At 40.7% G+C, this 26,446-nt stretch overlaps 1 protein-coding gene and 1 pseudogene across 2 annotated transcripts in view; both read left to right on the top strand.

The window, feature by feature from the left end:
* Nucleotides 1–24,176, top strand: part of P3H2 (prolyl 3-hydroxylase 2) — a 165,551-nt gene extending 141,375 nt beyond the window's left edge. For both annotated transcript variants that reach the window (NM_001134418.2, NM_018192.4), the window contains exons 9-15: nucleotides 6,219–6,346; nucleotides 6,900–6,995; nucleotides 7,880–8,030; nucleotides 8,897–9,014; nucleotides 10,013–10,088; nucleotides 16,806–16,946; nucleotides 22,900–24,176. In NM_001134418.2, the coding sequence (NP_001127890.1) occupies nucleotides 6,219–6,346; nucleotides 6,900–6,995; nucleotides 7,880–8,030; nucleotides 8,897–9,014; nucleotides 10,013–10,088; nucleotides 16,806–16,946; nucleotides 22,900–22,992 (803 nt within the window). In that variant the 3' untranslated portion in view covers nucleotides 22,993–24,176. The remainder of the gene's footprint in view (nucleotides 1–6,218; nucleotides 6,347–6,899; nucleotides 6,996–7,879; nucleotides 8,031–8,896; nucleotides 9,015–10,012; nucleotides 10,089–16,805; nucleotides 16,947–22,899) is intronic.
* MTAPP2 (methylthioadenosine phosphorylase pseudogene 2) lies at nucleotides 10,965–11,874 on the top strand (annotated as a pseudogene).

Genomic DNA, 26,446 nt, shown 5'->3' with positions numbered 1-26,446 from the left:
CACTTTCCTAATCACTTGGTCTTTCTGGTGACCAGCCCCATTCTGAATCTTTTTAGGGGCCCTACCCTAATTCATCTCATCAGCATAAACTTAAGTGTGATCAAAAGGATCTCATTATAAGTAAAAAAGGACACTCTTATCCCTTGGGAAATTCCAAGGGATTTGGGAGCTCTGTGCTAGAAACAAGGGATAAAAACCAGTATATTTCTTATTATATCATAACTAAAAAGCCTGTTGTCCAGTCGTCAGATACCTAATTAGGATCTAAATTAAGAACAGTTGTAGATAGATACAAAGTTTCCAACCAGAAAACACTTTCATATCTCTTTTTCTTTTTTTTTGAGATGGAGTCTCGCTCTGTCCCCCAGGCTGGAGTGCAGTGGCGTGATCTCAGCTCACTGCAACGTCCGCCTCCTGGGTTCAAGCGATTCTTCTGCCTCAGCCTCCTGAGTAGCTAGGACTACAGGCACATGCCACCATACCCGGCTAATTTTTGCATTTTTAGTAGAGACGAGATTTCACCATATTGGCCAGGCTGGCCTCGAACTCCTGACCTTGTGATCCTCCCGCCACGGCCTCCCAAAGTGCTGAGATTACAGGCATGAGCCACCACGCCCAGCAACATTTTCATATCTTAATCTGACTAAAAGGGGATGTCAGGGAGGCATGTGTCGCAGAATAGAGTATACTTCAGCTTTTCTCATCTTCCCCAAAGAGACTGTCATCTACTCTGGATGCCTATCAGTGTTTAGTATTTTGTATTATTCCTACTGGACAGCTCCTAAGCATTAAGATGGGGTGACCCAGGGCTACTTACATCCCACAGTGGCTTCAGTCCATGAAACATGCGTGATATGGAAACTCACTAAAAAACATTGCTGTCACTTGTCCATTCTCCTTTCACTCACCAGATTTTTTTTTTATTTTTATTTTTTGAGACAAGAGTCTCACTCTGTCACCCAGGCGGGAGTACAGTGGTGCGATCTCAGCTCACTGCAATCTCTGCCTCCTGGATTCCAGTGATTCTCCTGTCTCAGCCTCCCGAGTAGCTGGGACTACAGGTGCATGCCACCATGCCAGGCTAATTTCTTCATTTTTTTTTTTAGTAGAGACGGGGTTTCACCATCTCGGTCAGGCTGGTCTTGAACTCCCGACCTCAGTTGATCCACCCGCCTTGGGCTCTCAAAGTGCTGGGATTACAGGCCTGAGCCACTGTGCTCAGCCCACCCACCAGATTTTTAAAGGTTGTGCTGGATATGATTCCAGAGTCAGTAGGGGGATAGTAGAAACAATGTTGGGGAATAAACTTGGAATCAGGAGGCTTAGTCTCTGGGATTATCTTATTCTGATATGCTCCACAGTGATGAAGATCTAGTGACTCAATTTTTCTGGGCCCTATGATTTTTATCTATAAAAGAAGGATAGTAACTGTTTTAAGATGGTAAACATAAAAAGTTCTTCTTTTTTTTTATTTTAGAGCCAGAGCCTCACTCTGTTGCCCAAGCTGGAGTACAGTGGCACGATCTTGGCTCACTGCAACCTCTGCCTCCTGGGTTCAAGTGATTCTCCTGCCTCAGCCTCCCAAGTAGCTAGGATTACAGGCATGCATCACCATGCCCAGCGAATTTTTTTTTTGTGTTTTAGTAGAGATGGGGTTTCACTGTGTTGCCCAGGCTGGTCTTGAACTCCTGAGCTCAGGCAGTCTGCTCGCCTCAGCCTCCCAAAGTGCTAGGATTACAGGTGTGAGCCACCGTGCCTTGCCCTTTTTTTGTTTTTTTAACTGTAAAAGGCTGTACTCATATAGGGATTGTTAGCCTGCCTACACCATCATGCTTTGTATGACACTATCGAATTTCTGATAAAGTGATTCTTCTTGCCATGAGCCAGACAGTGAGTACAAGGGAGTACTTTCTTAGATGATCCCTTCTTGTTGCAACCAGAGAGTCAGAGCCAGGCACATACTTTATAAACGAGGGAAGAATTAACTTGTTTGACTAAATCTTCTTGGGCTGTGGTTAAGAATTGGCTGAAGCCATCAAATCAGGCCCCAGAAACCACAATTTATTGGACTACATTTTTATTTTTATTTTAATGTTTTCCTCTGTCTGGTGTGCTACTAGTCATTAAGCTACCAGCTTAAGACTGGTAGTCATATGGAGGCTGGTTGACTTGCCTGTTGAATGATAGGGTTTCATTTGTCTTTTTTTTTTTCCTTTGGTTAGTTGATGGGTGATGGGTCGTTTTTGTTAAATGTACGTGTGGAAAATATCTGTGTAAAATTCTACACTTAGTAATATTAATGATTATGTTAGCTACATGAAAGGCATATTTCTAATGCAGATTCTCCCGGAACCCAAGATTCAGATATTGAAGACTCCATGTTACATTCTTCCTTCACTTGATCTTTGCATGTTACTTGTGGAATGCTAGGAGAATTGTCAATATCCCAGTAGCCTTCTCTTAAGGCTCTATGCTTATTAAGGTGTCTCAATCAGAACTTAACACAGTATTCCAGGTGTAGCTTATTAATTCAACAATAACGATAGTAATGATAATACATACTTATAATGGAGCTTAAGACTGGTAGACATTTTCCTAAATATTTCATTTTTGCTAACTTTCAAAATCATATTTTGAAAATAAGCTAATTATGTTTAAAATAATACATCTTCAATGTAGAAAAAGAGAAAAACTTGGCAAAGTATAAACCAACTTAATTCACTAAATCTCTCATCTGTCTTTCATTTCTATTTGAGTTTTTATTAGCAGATGCTTTTCAGTGAATCTACAAGTATCTTATCTTTCTTCTTGAAGGAACATTTCTTTTTATACTTCTAAATTGGAATGGAATATACAGTTCACTTTTCCAAATATTCGAGGGAATGCCTGTCTCAATTTGACTACAAACTTTAATCAGCTACATAGATTAGAACAGCCTTTTCCAAATTGCGTTCTATGCTAAGACGTTTAGGGGGGATTTTTAAAAGACTACTTGGCTGGGCGTGGTGGCTCATGCCTCGAATCCAAGCACTTTGGGAGGCTGAGGAGGGAGGATGGCTTGAGTCCAGGAGTTGAAGACCAGCCTGGGCAAGACCCTGAAAATAAAAAAATAACAAGACCCTGACAAAAAAAAAAATAAACTAGGCATGGTGGTGCGTGCCTATAGTCCCAGCTACTTGGGAGTCTGAGGTGGGAGGATTGCTTGAGGATAGGAGGTCAAGGCTGCAGTGAGCCATGATGGTGGTGCCACTGCACTCCAGCCTGAGTGACAGTGAGACCCTGTCAAATAAATTTTTTAAAGACTACTTTTTTTATTGCTGTGAAAACATAATGAAAATATAGCAGCTTATGAAAATATCCATTTATTATCTCATAGTTTCTGTGGGGTAAGAGTCTGCAGAGAACATAACTGTGTCTTTGGCTTCAGGATCTCTCACCGGTTTCAGTCAAGTTGTTGACCAGGGCTGAGAATTCAGTTCCCAAAAAGTTGTTGGACTATGGCCTTTTAGTTCCTAGTTGGTTGTTGGCTGGAGGACGCCCTCTATTCCTTGCCATGTGATCCTCTCCAGTACAGCCGCTTGCTTCATTACAGCATGGCAGCGGAGAAGGCAAGAGACTGAGAAGGCAAGAGAGAAGTTGCAATTTCATGTAACATAGTCACAGAAATGACACCTTATCACCTTTGCCATATTCTACTGTTTAGAAGTAAGTTCCAGGTTCCACTCGCACTTGTGGGAAGCAAATTGCACAGCTGTATGAATGTTGGGAGGCAATGATCATTGCAGCCCATCGTAAAGTCTCTGCTGCAGGAAGGAAGTTGGGGGAGTCGGGGAGGGAGAGAATTGTATTCAATTAAGGCTAAAAACTGCTGCATATTATGTTACTACTTAGGACATTAATAAGGCCTGTTCACATATTAAAAGTTCTGAGACGTCCTCTTATCTTTTATTTAACCCAGTACTTTCCCAGAACTTTCAATGCAACACAATTTGAGAAATAGTGAATTGTAGAAAAGCATATTTTTCTATTCAACTAAAAGATGTGATACTGAAACGAGGCTTATGGATATATTCTTGGGATCCAAAAATTCCATATTTATAAATTTTAATCACAATTTTCAAAAATTAAGAGAAGCAATTAGGGGTTATCTAAGGGATCAACTTCTAGCCAGGTGGTGTCATGGGATTCCACAGTTCAATGGGCACAGTTATGGTCATATTAACGCCAACTAATAATACTTCAATGATTAAAGACTAGAAATAAATGAAATACGATGCACTTATAAATAATGTATTAGGCTTAGATGAAAGCTGATATGGTTTAGCTGTGTCCCCACCCACATCTCACCTTGAATTGTAATAATCCCCATATGTCAAGGGCAGGGCCAGGTGGAGATAGTTGAATCATGGGGGTGGTTTGTTCTCCTGGTAGTGAATAAGTCTCACAAGATCTGATGGTTTTATAAACGGGAGTTTCCCTGCACAAGCTCTCTTGCCTGCCACCATGTAAGACATGACTTTCTCCTTCTTTGCCTTCCACCATGATTGTGAGGCCTCCCCAGACGTGGAACTGTGAGTCCGTTAAATCTCTTTTTCTTTATAATTTCCCAGTCTCAGGTATGTGTTTATTAGCAGCAAGAAAATGGACTGATACAAAGGCCAAAATTAATCGTGGTACATTAAGATTGTGTAGTAGTTTAACTAGAGAAAAGTTGTGGTAGAATAGTAATTACACACCAACAGTACTATAAGGAATCCTGGCTCAAAAGAACCCAGACCAGATCAGTGAGTAGAATATTCATGTGGAAGGTAGCTTTTTATTTTCAGAAAAATAACGTTAACCATTCCATTTGTTGATTGGAATTTAGTTCATTTTATGGTCTTGCTTTTATTTAGTCTTGTAAATTGGTTTGGGTACTGTATGAAACTACTAAAATAAATAATGTGAACATAGTTTTATGATTGCATATATAGAAGTAAAATTAGAGTGAAAATAATTTGTCAGCACTGGAGCTCCTTAGGGAACTTCTGCTTTAACAGATAACCGAACATTACTCTAGATTGAGAAACACTGCCTCATGCTTTTAATATTCCATTAATCATGAGCTGTAGTGAGTCTTTTATCCTAGCTAGACTAATAAACATTTAGACAGTGCTCTTCCCTAGGCTGACTAATCTATTTTATAAAGTAGACATCAATTTCAATTGTCTCTTCTTCCTCTGTTGGAGTGTTTTAGGCCAACGTGTTGGTGACCTTTGCTAGACCTGGGGTGGCAGGGAGTTGTGCCTTCCCTATCCCTGCTGTCTTATCTTCGGCTGTTGCTATGGACAAGCACGCACCAGGCCCCTTGGGAGTGTTATAAATGGTTAGAAGCAGTGTTTTCTTTTCTGTTCCATTTTCTGGTTCAAAATGTTTGCACTATGCTACACCAGAAGATTTCCTCTCTATCAGAGGCTTTGTCCTTCAGTCCTACTCTATGAAAAAAAGTCTTTGTCAGGTCTGGATTTTGTAATTTCACAACCTAAAATGTGACCCCAAAGCATCACCCTCTGAAGAGCCTATCTGGAGTTAATTTTATAAACTTGTGGTCTCTCTCTGGGAAGAGAGTAGGTGCCTAAGGGAAACCCTCCTGTGTGGAAATAGAAACGTGATGATTTTGCCTGGAGAACAGAGAAAAACACTCCAAAAGCAAGACAACCTAGGGTCAGTTGTGTGGTAGGAAGAAGACTGAGGCAGAGTCAAGTGACTTGGGTGTGACTACCTGAATCACCTAGTGAAGGTGTTACTCTAGACACCAGTGAAACTGAGGTGTGCATGTCATACCTGGGGACCCAAACATGCAATCTGTGGTGTTGCGACAGAGGTATGAATGAGGGGCTGTGAACAAGGGTGGACTTTCTCAGAAGAGAGTCCTATGAGATGCCCAGTCGACTTTTTGGGATCAGCATTAGAAACAAATGCAAAAGTAGTTCTATCTCTCCCAAAATAATGTACGCATGTAACATTATTATGACATTATGAGGAAACCCGATAGACATCTTTCTCCTGAATCTATATTGTGTTTATCAAGCTTCCTAATTTGCAATTTGTCTTTGCATTTCTAAATATTCATGAAGAAATGGACTCACTCGAATTGCACATTGAAAGCTGTTTGGTATTCTGTGCTTCCTTTCGGGGGACAGAGGTAACAGGGAAGACAATGTGCTCTGTTCCTGTAGGTGGTCCTCTACTCTATGAGAACATCACATTCGTCTACAACTCGGAGCAGCTGAACGGGACTCAGCGGGTTCTCCTGGATAACGTCCTGTCGGAAGAACAGTGCCGGGAGCTCCACAGCGTGGCCAGTGTGAGGATCCGGAGAAGGAGGGGAGCTCACTGCGCTGGCCTGCCAAGAAGCTGGAACTGCTTTGGTCCTGGTCTCATCTGGAGCCAGACAACAAGCCCTGAAATATTGCTTTCTTGAGGAGAAAGACATAAATTATTTTTGAGGAACTTTTATAGCCTTTGGGTTGGGATTATTTTAGTTTTCCCGGGTGGGATCTGGAATAGCTACTGGCATATTTCCTAGCCCAACAGCCATCTAGCAAGGTCCCTGCCTATCATATAAAGTTGCTGGAGAAATCCTTTTATTTTAATTAATTATTAGGCAATATATCAATAATTTACATTCTTTTTATTTCCATAAAAAGTGACAGTATTTGATAATAAAAATGTAGAATGAAGATTAAATAAAGATATCTCTTTTAATTAAAAGAATAGTTATACCAGCATCCTGGAATAAAATGGGGATGGTTCTTAGCATTGACTAGAGTTCTCAGCTTTCTGGCAGCCAAAGCAGAAAAAGACCTGATGAATTCATAGTTATCATTGATGACGTATCTTCTTGTATTTGCTTCCAGGGAATCATGCTTGTTGGTGATGGATACAGAGGAAAAACTTCACCCCATACACCCAATGAAAAGTTTGAAGGTGCAACTGTCCTGAAAGCACTCAAAGTAAAGTCTTAACTTCTTTTGGGTTTGAGTTCCTTAGTGTCAGCCTAAGGCTTCTGTAAATGGCAGATATAAGAAAGAAAAAAGTGGCCAGGCACAGTGGCTCACGCCTGTAATCCCAGCACTTTGGGAGGCTGAGGCAGGCAGATCACGAGGTCAGGAGATCGAGACCACCCTGGCTAACATGGTGAAACCCCGTCTCTACTAAAAATACAAAAAAATTAGCCAGGCATGGTAGTGGGTGCCTGTAGTCCCAGCTACTCGGGAGGCTGAGGCAGGAGAATGGCGTGAACCTGGGAGGCAGAGGTTGCGGTGAGCCGAGATCGCGCCACTGCACTCCAGCCTGGCCTGGGCGAGAGCGAGACTCCGTCTTAAAAAAAAAAAAAAAAAAAAAAAAAAAGAAAGAAAGAAAGAAAGAAAAAAGTTTTGAATATATACCTATCAGGACAGCTGAAAGAAGCAAGAGTGAAATGAAACCTTCATTGTAGTTAATCATTCCTCCGTTCAGCCATCAACTTATCAAACTTTACATTTCCTGACAAAAAATACATACAATCCCTCTTTGTAAAATCATGATCTAATAGTGAAAACATATTCAAACAAGTAATTATTCTCTACTGCAGGAAGGGTTGTTAGAGAGGATGGTAGAACATATTATAATAGAAGAGAAGAGGAACCAAGTAGCTTTTAGCTTTCCATCTGTTATTGGGAAGAGTTTATTCCAATGGCACAATGTCCTAACCGAAATCCACAAATATGTAGTAGCCTTCCCCATTAGTCAATACAGACATGACAATCCTATATTGGCTCAATGCAAGCTAGTGCCTGTTTTTCTTACGACCTCCAATGAACCCATTTGTTTCTCATGTTTTGTTTTTTTTTTTCAGTCTGGTTATGAAGGTCGAGTCCCACTGAAGAGCGCTCGTCTGTTTTATGACATCAGCGAAAAGGCTCGAAGGATTGTAGAATCTTATTTTATGCTGAACTCAACTCTGTATTTTTCCTATACACACATGGTCTGCCGAACAGCCCTGTCTGGTGAGATTGCAGTCTGAAATGGTTCCCTTTTACCCACAATACATTGGGAAATGAAACAAGGCAAAACAAAGCTCAACAGCATGGTAGATTAATATTTTAGACGAATTCTAGATTTCCAAAACAAAAGTAGCTTATGAACTCTTATTCTGCTTCTTTCTTTTTCTTCCTTTTGTTCTTCTGAAGTTCCAGAAAACCCTCGTTCTGAACATTTTCCCTTCCAAATCAATTTTCCCCAATTGCTGAAGTCTTGGGAAAAAAAAATGCTTTTCTGCTGTAGGTTTCCCATTTTGAGGAATCAGGAACATGGAAATCATAGTCACCATGATGTCTACCAGCATTAAGTGGAAGCATAGAAGATGAAGGGATGATTGAAAGAAATACTCTTAAAAAGACCGGGACCTTCTCGGTCCCTGCTCAGCATTATTTCTCCTCTATGTCTTATGCCCCTCTGAATGGGGCGGGGGGAATAATGATGTCATAGGAGTAGACTTTTACACTTGGGAAGTTTTAGCTGAATTAAATCTTGTTTTTTTAAAAAATTTTCATTTCCTTCCCATTGTTTTGCTGCCCTATGTGAAGTACAACCCATGAAACGCATGGAATTTGTTCATGTATGTTTATATCAGAAATAACTTTTATAGCTGAAGAGACAGGTGTGACATGCTCAAGGTTTCACATCCAGTTCATATCAGAACCAGACCAGAATCTCAACTACTTGTCCACTGTTCTTTTATCTGTTCTTTCCTGTTGTCTGCCTCTGCCCATTTGCAAAGATCATCAGGACTGGGAGAAGAGAGATTGTCAGTTACTTTGGTGGAAGTTGCTGCACTTCATTTCTCGTTCTTCCCTATTCCCTTTTCTGGCAGGTCAGCAGGATAGAAGAAATGACCTCAGTCATCCCATCCATGCTGACAACTGTTTGTTGGATCCAGAGGCCAACGAATGCTGGAAGGAGCCTCCTGCTTACACATTTCGAGACTATAGGTATAGCTAGAACCTGCTTCAAAACAAAGCTTTTACCTAACAGTTTTCAAGCAGTGAAAACTGGAAAGGTGCTCTGTTTTGCTTGACGTCGTGTTCATATCTCCAAGGCAGAAATTCTCAAATAATCTTCTGAAGTAGCTGCCATAACCAATAAGTGGCATTATCATCTCACTTTTATCTTAAAAATTGTGCACAGTTTGCATCCCATTTCACAAAATGTCCATTTTGTTTTAATATGAAAAGTAAATTTTATGTTCTTTTAAAAAAATTCCTGTTCTCCCTGGAACATATTCCTTGTGGTATATGTATTTCAGTCAGAATACAAGGGCATGGAGTCTTGGCCTACATAAGGACTTTATCACATCAATTATCTTTATTCATACCCAAGAAGAACTATGTCTGCATTTTATAAATAAGACACTAGAAACTCAGGAGAAAAGAATGTCCTTACCTATTGAGAGAGATTTCAGTGTGTAAGGAATCAGGAGTTATAGTCACCATGTGTTCATCCTTACTACACTGTACTCGATTCCAAAACATTTATTAAGCACCCGCTATCTGCAAGGCGTGGCTAGGCCACAAGGAACTCTTCAGCAAGTTAAAGAGAAAAACAACAACAAGAACAAAGCAAACAAACAAACAAAAATCCTTTAGAGTTATATAAGGGAAAAAGAGAGTTGTAATTAGGGTGGGCACGTTCAAAGGGCTAGATTAAATTAAAACTAGTTAGGTTTTCTGTGGAGGAAGTGAAATGTGAGACAAGCTTTGACATATGATTACAATTTTAGTAAAGGTGGAATAAGTAAACTCTTCAGAGGTATAACTCAAACTCTATCTGATCTTCTCTTTAAGAGTTTGGAGGACCAATTATATCAATGTCTAGTTCAAAGGAAACTTACTAATGGAGGCTGGACAGTACATCACCAGTCTTCAGTATTCTATGACCATGCTCTCATAAGCATATAATAATACAAATAGTTTTCTCTTCATTCTTATAGTGCTCTCCTATATATGAATGATGACTTTGAAGGAGGAGAATTCATATTCACAGAGATGGATGCTAAGACTGTGACTGTAAGTAAACCTATTCTTGAATACTTATTTAGTATGTTTTAGCTCAGTATTGCCATTTTTCTAAGTACTTACAGATGGTTAGATTTCAAATACTTCTGAGCTCAAGATTTCAAGAGGTTAAGAGAGTTTCAGTAAATGTATAGATCATAAACTGTTAGAAGTATCCATAAAAATCTAGTACGTTGTAAAGATGAGTAAATTAAAGAATTGAGATATTAATCATTTTATCATGATCATATAGCTAGTTAGTGTTAGACTTGGAACCAAAACCTAGGTCTTCTAATTCTTTGTCAAGTAATCTGATGGAAACGTAAGAACGTCAGTTCCTAAGTCACCCAAGTCTAGAATAAGTCAAATGATTCTACAAGGTGTCTTTCAAGTAACCTGGTGTTCTACGTACTTGGACTGAGCATTGGCCTTCAAATATATAGTTACCAAAATTATCATATATGTGTGTATGTATGTGTATGTGTATATATACCTATAGGTATGTGTGTATATATATTATATATATAAAAAATATATATATAATATATATACACACATATAAATATGCCCACTGCAGCTTCCTTTCCCATGCAGACATGGCCTCATATATATATATATATATATATATATATATATTTGCATATATATATGCATAGAGAGATATATGATTGTGACTGTATGTAATAAACTCATACCTGAAAATTGATACACACACACACACACACACACAAATATGTAAACAAAGAGTAAATCAAAAGTTCAATTCAACGACCATCTTCCTAAGTAAACCCGTGCCTTTGGAAAGAAGCCTACTTAAAGACCATATAGTTAGCATCCTTTGGTCTTCAAGCCAAAGAGCATACACAATGGTAGAAAAATATATTTTCGACTGCTGCCGCTCTTTGGCCCACTTCATTCCCTTAGTCCCGAGTGCTCGCCCACTGCAGCTTCCTTTCCTGTGCGGACATGGCCTCAAGCACCACCACCACTGCCATGAAGATTGGAATAATTGGTGGAACAGGCCTGGATGATCCAGAAATTTTAGAAGGAAGAACTGAAAAATATGTGGATACTCCATTTGGCAAGCCATTTGATGTCTTAATTTTGGGGAAGATAAAAAATGTTGATTGTGTCCTCCTTGCAAGGCATGGGAGGCAGCACACCATCCTGGCTTCCAAGGTCAACTACCAGGCGACCATCTGGGCTTTGAAGGAAGAGGGCTGTACACATGTCATAGGGACCACAGCTTGTGGCTCCTTGAGGGAGGAGATTCAACCTGGCGATATTGTCATTATTGATCAGTTCATTGACAGGACCAGTATGAGACCTCAGTCCCTCTATGATGGAAGTCATTGTTGTGCTAGAGGAGTGTGCCATATTCCAATGGGGGCCAAGCCCCCAAACGAGAGACGTTCTTATAGAGACTGCTAAGAAGCTAGGACTCTGGTGACATTCAAAGGGGACAATGGTCACAACTGAGGGACCTCGTTTTATCTCTTGAGCAGAAAGCTTCATGTTCTGCACCTGGGGGGTGGATGTTATCAACATGACCACAGTTCCAGAGGTGGTTCTCACTAAAGAGGCTGGAATTTGTTATGCGAGTATTGCCATGGTGACAGATTATGACTGCTGGAAGGAGCACGAGGAAGCAGTTTTGGTGGACCGGGACTTACAGACCCCGAAAGAAAATGCTAGTAAAGCCAAAAGTTTACTGCTCACTGCCATACCTCAGATAGGATCCATGGAATGGTCAAAAACCCTCCATGGCCTGAAGAATATAGCCCAGTTTTCTGTTTTAAAATTTTTGCAATTTATCCTTTTGACAAAGGGCTAATATCTAGAATCTACAGAGAACTTTAACAAATTTACAAGAAAAACAAACAAACAACCCCATCAAAAAGTGGGAGAAGGATATGAACAGACACTTCTCAAAAGAAGACATTTATGAGGCCAACAAACATATGAAAAAAAGCTCATCATCACTGGTCATTAGAGACATGCAAATCAAAACCACAATGAGATACCATCTCACGCCAGTTAGAATGGCGATCATTAAAAAGTCAGGAAACAACAGATGCTGGAGAGGATGTGGAGAAATAGGAATGCTTTTATACTGTTGGTGGGAGTGTAAATTAGTTCAACCATTGTGGAAGACAGTGTGGCAATTCCTCAAGGATCTAGAACCAGAAATACCATTTGACCCAGCAATCCCATTACTAGGTATATACCCAAAGGATTATAAATCATTCTACTATAAAGACATATGCACATGTATGTTTATTGCGGCACTGTTCACAATAGCAAAGACTTGGTACCAACCCAAATGCTCATCAATGATAGACTGGATAAAGAAAATGTAGCAGATATATACCATGGAAGACTATGCAGCCATAAAAAAGGATGAGTTCATGTCCTTTTCAGGGACATGGATGAAGCTGGAAACCATCATTCTCAACAAACAAACACAGGAACAGAAAACCAAACACCACATGTTCTCACTCATAAGTGGGAGCTGAACAATGAGAACACATGGACACGGAGGGTAACATCACACACCAGGGCCTGTCAGGGGGATAACATTAGGAGAAATACTTAATGTAGATAATGGTTTGATGGGGTGCAGCAAACCACCATGGCACATGTACACCTATGTAACAAACCTGCACATTCTGCACATGTACACTAGAACTTAAAAGTATAATAATAATAAAAAAATTTCCAATTGAGAAAGTAAGCAGATTATAGATGACCAGGTATCTCTCACCACCATACAAAATCTAAGTAGTTGGGACATGTATGTGATAAACTTCAAAGTTTTGGCATTATAGAAGCTATTTCTAAACTTTTCTTGAATTTTATGCTTGTCCCTCATAGCTTACATGCTTTTCTCATTAGTGAAACATATCTGTCATTTATGACACACATATGTTATTCATCACACAGTACTGTGATATAAGCAGGTAATATCAAAAAGTATGTATTACTGGGTTAAAAGGTGATTCCTATGAGGATTCTCGTTAAAATTGTCTAGAAACATTGTAATAACTAAGAAAAAATATTTCATGTGACTTCATACAATAATATATGTTAAAAAGTCATGATGCCTCACTTTTTGGGTAAAAAGCTTAAATGTTAATATGGGAGTACTTTAATACTCCGTAATCTGATAAATTAAATCAAGATTGACGATCTGTATTGGAGTTTAAAGTCCAGAAGGTTTTTTGCACTTCTGGGAAAGCTTGAGTGTAGGAAGCATTTTATTTCTGATCTCTGCTAACACTGAAACTGAGGTACAAAAATACTGGCATTTCGCAGTTTCAAAGAAAGTCAGACAGGTGGTTGAAAAGATTTCTTTGCTTCTCCTCCATCTAGTGGCCGTATTTGGAAATGCTTGATGCTTAAAGCAAGGGATGCCTGTTTCATTAATTTTTGAATGTCAAGTTAACTGGAATTCTACTTTTTAAAGATGTGAAAGCAGATAATATTCTCCTTTCAGAGTGCTACAATTTTAATTAAAATCTATAACTATTTTTAAAAACCCAGAATCTAACCTCCCCTAAAAAAACTAAAACTGATTTAAACAAATTTTTAATCCAAAAGCTCCTGTTTGAGAACATTTATTTCCTCAAATACTTCATATTAATGCATACAGTGGCATTTTAGGGAATAACGTAGATAACTAAAATTCTTACGTAAGGCAGTTCTTATCTTTCCCCACAGGAAGTTTATTCTAGTACCAGCAACAACAACAACAGCAACAGAAATGGGTATTTTTCTGTTTTAGTTTCCCTTTGACTGTGGAGGGACAAATGGAGCAGAGAAATGGCATAACTTGAGGCCACATAAGGAAGTAACGTCTTCTGAGTCCTTTACTTTGGAAAAATCTGGAAGTTGTGTAATTATCTGAAAGGTGGCTGAAATTTTACTTTTATTAAAGACAATTACAGCACAAACGCTTTTCTAAATCAATCATCAGTTAGACGGAAAGCAAAAGGATTATTTTAAATTATGCTTAGTATACTTGGAAGATATGTGGATTCTTTTCAATAGCGGCATTTGTTTGTGAGACTTGGGAATTCAAGGATGTTGGTTTCTCTGTGCAGGTTCAAAGAAGATAAAATTTAATGAGTTCCATTTGTTTCATGAAAAATTAAATTCAGTATAAACGGGGCTGTGTTACAAAAGTATGTTTATAATCATTTATCCAAACTTCATAACATATTTTTGCTGTAGAAACAATGTCACACATGGAAGCAGGTTCACTAAAGCTTGTTTATTCCTCCAAATACCTGACATGTAACAGATGATGTTCGCTGTGTGATGAGATGGGTCTTAGAGATCCTTGTGAATCCACGGCTATAATCAGTTCCAACCGCCTCATACAGTTCACAGCTTCTTTTCCTAAACTTTCCCAAAGTTATTCATGTTTAAAATTACTTTCAATTCCAGAAGAAAGAAAATACTAATTTGTCCCCACATCCTTTCTTTAGTCTTATAAGATGTTACCAAGACTTGGTAATCACATAGAAACATTGGCAAATGCGTGTTTGAGTGAGTCCTGACCAGCACCAGGGAGTGGGCAGCCCAGAAAACCTGAAATTCCAACATCCCAAGGCCATTTACTCAGAAGGCTTTTCTTTCTTTCTTTCTTTCTTTCTTTCTTTCTTTCTTTCTTTCTTTCTTTCTTTCTTTCTTTCTTTCTTTTTCTTTCTTTCTTTCTTTTTTCTTTCTTTCTTTCTTTCTTCCTTTCTTTCCTTCTTTCTCTTTCTTTCTTTCTTTCTTTTCTTTCTTTCTCTCTCTCTTTTTCTTTCTTTCTCTCCCTCTCTTCTTTCTTTTCTTTCTTTCTTTTTTTTTTTTTCTGTCACCCAGACTGGAGTGCAGTAGCACGATCTCAGCTCACTGCAACTTCCGTCTCCCAGGTTCAAGCGATTCTCCTGCCTCAGCCTCCTGAGTAGCTGGGATCACAGGCACCCACCAACACATCTGGCTAATTTTTGTATTTTTAGTAGAGACGGGGTTTCACCATGTTGGCCAGGCTGGTCTCAAACTCCTGACCTCAGGTGATCCACCTGCCTTGGCCTCCTAAAGTGCTGGGATTATAGGCGTGAGCCACCACGCCCGGCCTCAGAAGTCTTTTCTATCCTACTTCACAGGTTTTACCTTTCACTTATTTTGCTGCTTCTATGTGGAAATGTACAAATTCCTTCTCCAGAAAAACAGAATCACATTGATACTGAGGACACGACTAACTCGTGAACTCTCTAGATTTACATCAGAACAGTTGCCTTGGTAAAGCTGTTTAGGAAAAGCAATTCCAGCAAAGACAAATCACTCTTCAGTTATTGTGAGTAGAAGAGTAAAAAGAAACTGACTGCTTTTTTTCTGCTCTTCCCTTTAACACTCACACACAAGTCACATATACACACACATGCAGACTCACACAGACATAAACACACACACATGCCCACATAAACACATATGCACCCACCTGTCTCTCTGGCTTTCCGACTCCTCCACCTACCTCTTACCTTCCATATGTAGTCACGTAGTCCGGGAGTACCTATGTTATGTAGCAACCAAGGACTTTAGGAAATTTTTCAAATATTCTTCCTGAAGCTAGCAGTGAAAAACCAGCCAGCTCATTTTATGCAGAAGGAAACCAAAGATTTACGGGCATATGTCAACTCAAGTCAATTCAGAAAATGGCTAGTGAGAACCAGTCCATGTTCTCACCTAGTAAAATGGCTAGTGCCACTTTTTTTTGGTTTTACTTTACTTTTCTGAACTATACAGAGGAATGAATAAAGTTTCTGTATTTCCCAAGAAAGACAAAATGGATTCTACTCACATGAGACACTTCTTTAAACACAGAAGCAAGGCCTCTAATATTCAGTTGCTTAAGCTCATTCAATTTGAAGAGGCAGCTTGTTTGATCTTCTACCCTGGCTCAGTGAGCCCAGCAGTATTTCTTTTTCTCTCACTACACTCTTCTACCTAAACGCTGTGGACAGCTCCACCTGAGCAGTGCATAAGCTGCGAAGGACTGTGTCAGTCTTAAAACACTTAAGGGTGATGGCGAATAGGCCACTCCAAGGGGTGTCGTGTTCTCACCACTAGAGATGTTCAAACAATGCCTAAACGACCACTGGGAAACAATAGTGTAAAGGAAATGAAATATCATACAGAATTATGACTTTTAAAAATGTTTGTATTGTGAAAAGCACATAAACCATGAATGTACAATTTAAAAATTAGAAAGCGTATACGCTCATGTAACCACTACCTAGATCAATAACAACTTTTCCAGCACTGCAGATGTCCTGTTTGTTTGTTTGTTAATTACACAAGTATGGAATGGACACCTACCTTGTATCCGGATGCTTTGCTAGTGCAAAAGCTACAGAAATGAATTATGAGAGGAAAACTTTGCCTTCTTTGAATTTGCAGGCTATCATATATATAGCATGTATTGAATGATTACTATGTATGTGGACTTTGCTACACGTTTTACTTGAACATCTTTTTATTTTCTGAGGTATATATTATTTTGACCTTACCTTTGTTTTACGGGTGAGAAAATTGAGATAATTTACATCATCTTCAATCCCAGGATTCCTTTATTCTTCGCCTCAGGCCTTAACTCAAATAATCTCATAGCCAGAGAAGCAGGAGTTGTGGAAATGTTTATGATACAACAATTGAAAGTCTAATTTTTGCTTTCTTTCTCAGGCCTCTATAAAACCAAAATGTGGGCGCATGATCAGCTTCTCATCTGGAGGAGAGAACCCTCATGGGGTGAAGGCAGTCACCAAGGGAAAGAGGTGTGCTGTGGCTCTGTGGTTCACCTTGGACCCACTTTATAGAGAATTGGTGAGTTTCTCACCCGCCCAGAAAGCCAATTAGGCTTGCTTCATGAACTGCTTTATCTGAGAAGTCCTTTAAATTGCTTCGTCTGAGGAAAAGAAGAGGGTAAAGGCAGTTCTTAATCAGATATGTTCTAGTAAGTGAAGATGTTTGTAGAAATAGCTGTGTCAATGATATTTGATAGTCACTAATCTGTCTTGAGCTTATTAACAAATTGTAAGGCTGGGCGTGGTGGCTCACTCCTATAACCCCAGAACTTTGGGAGGCCGAGGTGGGCAGATCACTTGAGGTCGGGAGTTCGAGACCAGCCTGATCAACATGCTGAAACCCCATCTCTACTAAAAATACAAAATTAGCTGGATGTGGTGGCATGCGCCTGTAGTTCCAGTTACTCGGGAAGCTGAGGCAGGAGAATCGCTTGAACCTGGGAGGCGTAAATTGCAGTAAGCCGAGATCGCACCACTGCACTTCAGCCTGGGCAACAGGGCAAGACTCTGTCTCAAAACAAAAACAAAAACCAAAACAACTCTGTGGCATCAGGGAGGAATCACTTTTTATTGGTCACCCAGAAGACGGATTTGTTTTCTCGCAAATCATAAGAAATAGTATTGAATCATTTATGAAACGTATTTGAAAGAGGGCAAGGAAACCTAAAAGATTATTATTACTTATTACTGTTATTACATTAAGTATTTCAATATTATTATATGCAAACTAGCTGAGGACACTTAGCTAGGAGGAGACCATGATCTCATCGTTTTGGAAGCCCGTGGGCAGATGTCATAGTCTCCACCTGTGGAGCTGCAGCGGTATGAATTAAGACCAATGGGTAGAAGCCCTGGAGGGAAAATTTGGGCTCCACACAAGGAATAACTTTCAAATAGTCACCACAGTTTGGCAGAATTGTCTGCTTTGGAAGCACTGATTGGATGGCTCCAATCAAAGCCCAGGCAACTGCTTAGCATGGAACGCTGAAATGGAATCTAAAACATCGTAGCAGAGGCTTAACTGGATGACCTCCAAATCTTCTCCAGCCCTAAGTATTGATGAAGCTATGAAATTCTATTCTTAAAACTGGCATTCTATCCAGTTTTCCTTGTTAGGTTCCTAAGTTGAATCCAATTTCATCAGAAACTATTTAAAAATAATGCGTTTTTCTCATATACTTTTCACCATCAAATCTAACTTACAAAGTGTTTCCCCACATTCCCTAAGCCATTCTTTCACATATTTTACAAAAGACCTATTGTGACCTTTTATTGTACAGAAGAGCTATTATTATCTGCCTTGGAAACTCTGCTAGATAGGCCCTAGGGGTAGAAGGGTGAACAGAACAAGGTCCTGGACTATGAGGAGCTTGGACAGAACAGCTAGTAAATACGCTGTAAGAAGAGAACAGTATATGTTTTGTAGCAGGGAATCAAGGAAGACTTCTATAAGCTCAGACCTAGAAGCAAAGACGATAGCCAGGCATAGAAAAAATGGCCCTGGCTGGGCGTGGTGGCTCACGCCTATAATCCCTGCACTTTTGGAGGCCTAGGTGGGTGGATCACCTGAGGTCAGGAGTTGGAGACCAGCCTGGCCAACATGGTGAAACCCCATCTCTACTAAAAATACAAAAATTAGCCTGGCGTGGTGGCACGCACCTGTAATCCCAGCTGCTCGGGAGCCTGAGGCAGGGGAATCGCTTGAACCCAGGAGGTGGAGGCTGCAGTTGCAGTGAGCTGAGATCACTCCACCACACTGTAACCTGGGCGACAAGAGTGAGACTCTGTCTTAAAAAAAAAAAAAAAAAAAAAAAAGAAGAAGAAGAAAAAGAAAGAAAGGCCCTGACAAAAGGACCAGAGCACAGAGTCCTGAAAACCTCAAGGGAGCAGCAAACAATTGCCTTCCCCTATCATTACTTTATATCCTGGTATTTTCCATCTCCAAAATGTTAGCATTCCATCAAAGCATTTTTTTTTAAACTAAGGAACCTATGTCAATGGGTAGACAGTGAAGATAAAATTATTGAAATATTACCTCACTATTCTAGTATTCAATTCAGCAGACATTTAATCTATTTCATCATTCAGTATCCAAACTCCCTTTTCCAAGGTATTGTTCTCTCAAAATAAGCTAACACAAAGTAAGTTCTCTTTGCTCCTTTGTAATAGGAAACATCAACGCCAGCGTCCCTTCCTCTGATGGAAAAGTACTAGAAAACCTCTCCAGTCTTCAGGCCGTAGCGGCATCTAGTGGCCACAGTGGGAAATGACCAGAACTTTTTCCTCAGCTAAATTAGCCCAGGCTGTGAATCATTCTTTGCTACACGTGGAGATCATCTATTGATCGTTACAAACTACTAACATCTGTGTTTCAGGAGTTTTAAGAGCTCCCCAGGTGATTCTAACGTGCAGCAGCAGAGTTTGGGAGTTCCTGGCCTAGACGTCTTTTTGCAGATTGAATCTCAGAAAAAAAAAATGCCTACCTATGAACAAGTCATTAGAGCTGGCCGATTCTCATGCTTATTATGAATTACTTTAAAGGGTCTCAGTTCTCAAGGAGTATTTAGCAACATCCTTTTAAGGATGCAAGGATGTTCGAAGCTTCATATATATTGGTTCCAGCTCTTGAATTTCTTTCCCTTAATGAGAAACAAGATTACAATCATTTCTTGTGGTCAACAGATGTGAAAGCTTTGTATGTGTGTCGATTTGTTAAGTATCAGGATTGTTTTCCTTGGCCGGGCACGGTGGCTCAGTCCTGTAATCCTAGCACTTGGGGAGGCCGAGGCGGGCAGATCACCTGAGGTCAGGGGTTCGAAACCAGCCTGGCCAACATGGCGAAACCCCGTCTCTACTAAAATTACAAAAATTAGCCAGGCATGGTGGCATATGCCTGTAATCCCAGCTACTGGGGAGGCTGAGGCAGGAGAATCACTTGAATCCAGGAGGTGGAGGTTGCTGTAACCCGAGATCGCACCACTGCACTCCAACCTGGGCAACAGAGTGAGACTCTGTCTTGAAAAAAAAAAAAAAGATTGTTTTCCTTATATTTGTAAAGTAGTACTTGGGCTTTTTATTTAGATGTGGCAGCAACTTAATTTTCTGTTATTTAGTATATCTAGTCCTTTTAGTTGCCTTTTTGTAAACATTTTTTATTACAAGCTCTTGCATGAAAGGGGCTTTGTTTTCAATTCATAAAATAGTTATTTATTTAACTTACTGTGCGCAGGCACTGTGTTAAAGACCGCCTATGGGGAATGCACACTAGTAGGATATAATTCCTATTTTCAAGGAGCTTGAAGTCAAATTGGAGAAATAATACAAGGACCCAACTAATTAAACCACAAGGCAAGTTTTGGTAAGAATCCTTAGCAGCAAATGCGTGGTTTGAGGGATATCAAAAAGCAATCCAAAAAGGCTTCTTTGAGGAGATGGCATTTGAAAAAAAGCTTTAAAAGATCAATTTCTTTAGGGAGAGGCATTTTAGACAGAGAAAGGCTTCATCCATTTACACATTTACTCATCAAAGAAAATAGAACTCTTGCCACATGTCAGTGGCTTTTCTGAGCACTGAAAATACAGTAGTGACCAAGAAGATAAGATGCCCTGCTCTTCTGGAGCTTACATTCTAGTGGAAGGAAACAGATCCCAAAAAAGTAAAAAATAAATAAATAATCGAGAGATTTTTCACACGGTGACCAATGATGTGTGGAAAATGGAACAAGACAACTGATTCTGGAGTGAAAGGGTAGGAGCGGCAAATTGTGAGGCCTCGCCAAACAAGTGGCATGTGAGCTGAAACCTAATAAATTAGAAGTCCACTAGGATAAATGTCTGGAGGAGAGTATTCCAGGCAGAGGACAAGCTGCAAAGGCCCAGAGACAATAAGATGTTTGGAGTCACCAAGAAACAAAGAAAGCCAGAGCATCTGGAATATGGCAGACAAGAGGGAGAGTGGCTTCAGTAGAGGACGTGGAGGCGGCAGGAGTCGGATTCCACAGGCTGATTGGGAAATGCGAATTGTATTCTAACTAGTGGAAAGTCATGTAGTCCCCACACCCCAACACACACACACACACACACACACACACACACACACACACACACACACACACATATCTCCTCCAGTCCTGGAGAGTTACAGGATACAGAAGATTACTTTAGCTAACATGTGGTCTTGGACTGGAGTAGTAATAGAGAAGGTAAAAAGAGATGGAAGATTTGAGATACAATTTGGAGGTAGACCAGCTGCACCTGCTGATGGATTAATGTGAGGAATAAAAGAAAGCGTAGAATATAATGGGAGCATCCAGAGAAACACTTAATTCAGAATCGGATTAGGGAATTCTTTTGAAAGTGTTACATTCAGGGAGCTTGAGGTAAGTTAAGAAGTTGGAATATAAGGTGAGGAGAAGGGAGGCAAAATAAACCTAAAGAAGAGAGAAAGGTATGAATAAGAAGAGAGAACAAACACCACATATTCTCACTCATAGGTGGGAATTGAACAATGAGAACACATGGACACAGGAAGGGGAATATCACACTCTGGGGACTGTTGTGGGGTGGGGGGAGGGGGGAGGGATAGCATTGGGAGATATACCTAATGCTAGATGACGAGTTAGTGGGTGCAGCGCACCAGCATGGCACATGTATACATATGTAACTAACCTGCACATTGTGCACATGTACCCTAAAACTTAAAGTATAATAATAAAAAATAAATAAATAAATAAAAGAAAAAAAAAAGAAGAGACAGGTGTAAAGCAACTTCTTATAAGCACACCAAGAAAAGTAGACCTGAAACTTCAAGCAGTAGGGACCCATTGAAGAGCTGTGAGTAGGAAAGAGATATAATCAGATATAAGCCAGTAGGATTCATTAGAAGCATGTGAGGGTGAGTAGTGAAACAGCGAGAGCAATTTGGAGGCTGCGGCAGTAATTAAGAGATGATGAGGGCTTACAATGGTGGCTCTCAAGAGGGAGCGATTGGCCGGGTGCAGTGGCTCACTCCTGTAATCCCAGCACTTTGGGAGGGCGAGGCGGGTGGATCACCTGAGGTCGGGAGTTTGAGACCAAGCCTGGTCAACATGGTAAAAATATAAAAAATTAGCCGGGCATGGTGGTGAGCGCCTGTAAACCCAGGTACTTGGGAGGCTGAGGCAGGAGAATCGCTTGAACCCGGGAGGCAGAGGTTGCAGTGAGCCGAGATCGCGTCACTGGACTCCAGCCTGGGCAACAAGAGCAAAATTCCATCTCAAAAAAAAAAAAAAAAAAAAAGAGGGAGCAATGTTGCCCTCTAGTGGACATTTGGCAATATCTGGGGGTTGGTGGGGGAGGTTGTTACTGACACCTGTGGTAGGTAGAGAGGACGGGGTGTCGCTGAGCATCCTGCAGGGCACAGGGCAGCACCACCCTCCCACCCCCCAACAAATAATTATCTGGTCTAAAAATGTCAATCAGACCAAAATTGAGAAACCCTGACCTAAACTCCGGCAACAATAGTGCATTGAGGAGAAAGGGGCAGAGACAGCAGATAGAACAGAATAGGTGACTTATCAGATGCAGGAAACCATGGTCGGGCTTTTAAGGCAAATAGGTGAGCGATGTTGGTCTTTACCGAGAGAGAGCCTACGTGAAGAACAGAGCAGGTTCTTGGGGAGAAAATGGTGAATTCAGCTTGACCACTGAACTGAGTTGGAGATGGCTATGGGGCCATGAATTAGAAAGAGTAGGAAGCAGTTGAACATACAGTCGTTCTTTGCAGGAGAGAAAATCTTAGAAAGTAATTGCTTAGGACCCAGGAATGTTAGGAGAAGGCATCTGTCTGGGGATGAAGAGGAGGTGTTCAATGCTTAACTGGATATAGCATCAACCCATGTACAGATGGATGCCAGGAAGTGTTTGGGAAGCGTCTGCTGATGAGACTGATTATTATGCTTGTAACAGAAATGTGTAAATTGTCTTTTTTGCAGGAGCGAATACAGGCTGATGAAGTGATTGCAATTCTGGATCAAGAACAGCAAGGGAAGCATGAACTGAATATCAACCCTAAAGATGAGCTATAAAAATGAGAAAGAATGTTCTATCAAATATTTATTTAAATTGTTAATCTTATGAGAACCTTTTTATTTTTGTACAGAGCCATGGTATAAATTAACAGGTTAATGTCAGTCATCAGATCTTCCTTCTCTTCCTAAGGATGCTTGTGTTGCCTCAATCTATCAATCTATCTTTCTTGTTTTGGGTTGTTTTCTCTCTCTCTCTCTCTCTCTCTCTTCTTAGAGACATGGTCTAACCATGTTGTCTAGGATATAGGGCAGTGGCTATTCACAGATGTGATGATAGCACACTGGAGCCTCAAACTCTTAGGCTCAGGCGATCCTTCAAGCCTCCCGGGGAGCTGGGACCACAGGCACGTGCCACCACACCCAGCTCTCTTTCTTGGTTTTTCATCATTTCATGTATCTATCAAAGCCCAGTTCACCTCCTCCCCCAAACACACACACACACACACACACACACACACACACACACAATTAAGTTGCTGCAAATTCAAAAGCTTAGAGAGAATAAGCTTCTTGGTGGTGAAACTACAACTCTCACGTGTGCTCCAGTTCTAAAATTAACCTGTGCCTGGTCTCTGAAGCCCTTTCTTGCTCTGTGCCTTTCAGCCACATCCTTAGGTGCTAACGGCCATGAGCTCCGACTCTCCAAAGTGAGCTCCACTTTGGGTCTGAGGAGCCCCTGGCAGAGTCCACGCTGCCTCAGGTATCATGGGCGTAATGATCACCCAGGCTCCGGGAGATCTCATGGATGATTACTGTATGAGACAGAGGGGACTTCAGTCTTTCCAGGGCCTTGGTGGAATTTTTGGCTCTGGTGTTTTCGCCAGACAATAAACTTACACTGGAAGCTTTGATTCACCCTCCACAGTACTCCAGAAAGGACTGTCCTATAAGTTGTACACTTTAAAAGGTCATGTAGAGGTTGTAGTAGAATGGCTTTTCACCCTGGTGACTTTGGAAGAAACTCTTGAATACTGCCTGCATCCGGGCACCATGGCCAGGTTGCCTAGGAGTGGGGTCCACTGATGAAAAGAGGTGTTTTGTACTTACATAAGAAAAATAAATTTCTGATTGATTTTAACCGTCATCTGCTTATATTTTGGGGGCCCCTCCTCATTGCTGCTATCCAGCACACAGATTTGTGCTTGTGTCTGATTTGTTTAATAAAGGGAGGCTTATTTTAATATCTGGCATTTATTTTTGTTCTCCCAAATGTTTGCTTTATCTTCACAGAATGGTTTTGTAATTACATAGGAGCTTTTGGGACCACTTTAGGGGCAACATTGGGACATGACTAGTGTTGCTGGTGCAGTGGCCTCAGGAAAGGTGGGGACACTGCTCTTGAAGAACAGAGATGGAGACCAAACTGGGCATTGATCCAGAGAATGCTTGGTTCCAGGTCCCACTTCTAAGAAAGACACTACAAAGGCATAGTTCATGGGGGATGGGGTTCTTCTAACCTAGGGGAGACTTTATCATTCGCCCGTGGGAGATCACATGCTTTTATGACGGGCAGTGGTGGAGGGAAGATTTACTTTCTGCCGTTTACAATCTGGTGAGTGGTAAGAACATTCATCCATTGAAATTGAAAATTTGAGTTAGTGATGTATGAACCATCTGTTTTTTACTGAACCTTCTGGTTGTATTTTAATCATGGGAGAGTGGAAAGAGCATTGGATTATCCTCCCAGTTCTATCAAATATGCCCTGCTGTGTGATATGGAACTACTCTCTTTCCCTTTCCAGACTTTAGTTCCCTTCTCTGAAAATGACATAATTGATTGTAACAAGGCCCTCCCTCCTACTCAAAATACAAACAAAGCAAAAAGAAAAAAAAGAAACCAAAACCATTTTAGAAATAGTCACAACCAAATTTATTTCTGCTAACATTTAGAGAGTTGTGAATGGTTTTGTTTTGTTTTGTTTTGTTTTTGAGACGGAGTCTCACTGTCGCCCAGGCTGGAGTGAAGTGGTGTGATCTCAGCTCACTGCAGCCTCCACCACCTCCCGGGTTCAAGCAATTCTCCTGCCTCGGCCTCCTGAGTAGCTGGGATTACAGACGCCTGCCATAATGCCCAGCTAATTTTTGTATTTTTAGTAGAGATGGGGTTTCACTATGTTGGCCAGGCTAGTCTCGAACTCCTGACCTCAGGTGATCCACTCGCCTTGGCCTCCCAAAGTGCTGAGATTACAGGTGTGAGCTACTGTGCCCGGCCGTGAATGGGTTTTTTATGTGTGTACCTGATTTTTAAAAACGTAAACCCAAATTTAGACCTAAAAGTTCTTGAGCTTTGCAAAGGTAGATTGCTATTTGTCCTCCCACTGTGAAGAGCTTGTTGGCACTCAGATTTGCTGATTGGAGGATCTGGGTGAGGATCTGATTTCTGTTTTCTGGCAACAAGGCATCAACATAGAAACAGTCTTTGTTTGGCTCCTTAAAGTTCCCACTTCCTGGGTGCGATGGGCACTAGGGGAGGGGCAGGGACTTCATCACTGATTCTTATATTCAGTCCCACAGAAAGTGGGTGAAGGCCGAATAGATGTTGTGTTAGAGCCACATCTTGTGCCATTTGCTGACAACACAGGGTAGTTATTCTTGTTTTGCCGGTTAACCATGTTGCTTTACACCTGAAACATCATGTATACACTAAAGCATTTACTTCTTAATCTGCTCCACATCAAACCATACATAATTTCATTCAAATATTTAGGGAGTGTCATCAGACAACTTAAAAAAAAGTGAAGCTTAGAAATTGCAGTTCGTATGGCACATAATCCCTTGTGTAGAAGGATGGAAAAGCCCATTAGGACATTTGTTGCTTTTACAGCTGAAGGAGGGCGTAGAAATCACAGTTCAATTTCATCTTTCTTTTTGGGTAGAAAGTGAGGCTTAGAGGTGGTAAAGATGATCCCATGGTTACAGAATTTGAGCAACAGAGCCAGAGCTAAAGCCAGGACTGTTGAACTTGGTTATGCAAGAATGCCTGTGGGAGTGTACATGGGGGCTGGAACCCTGGCACAGGGCTTTGTCCAGCTGGTGGAAGGGATGTCTTATTCTATTTGCCCAGAGATGGTACTTGCTTACCAATCTATGGACCTGCAGGGCTATATCTTTCCAGAAAGGGTGTCTTTTCTAATTCTCACGAAGTGCTGAATGTGCTTGAGTCAGCCTAGGTTAAATAGTCCAATGTGTATGAATAGTACATCTCATCTGTGTTATCTGAGGAATTACCGTTGGTCTTGGTGATGATCCTTCCCTTGTGTGAAAAGTCTGCAGCTCACAAAGCTTTTATTTTCACCTATATTATTGTTTTGAATGCTTATGACACAGAGCATGTTCACACACTGGGAACCCCAGGAGGTATTCTGGGCATGGATCGTGATGTCCATTTTGCAGATGAGGACATGGAGAGCAGTGGAGAGAGGTGATTACCTGGGGTCACGTGGCTCAGAGT

The sequence above is a fragment of the Homo sapiens genome, chromosome 3 (genome assembly GCF_000001405.40).
Source record: "Homo sapiens chromosome 3, GRCh38.p14 Primary Assembly".
Classification (NCBI taxonomy): domain Eukaryota; kingdom Metazoa; phylum Chordata; class Mammalia; order Primates; family Hominidae; genus Homo; species Homo sapiens.
This window is presented reverse-complemented; position numbering and strand designations above follow the sequence as displayed.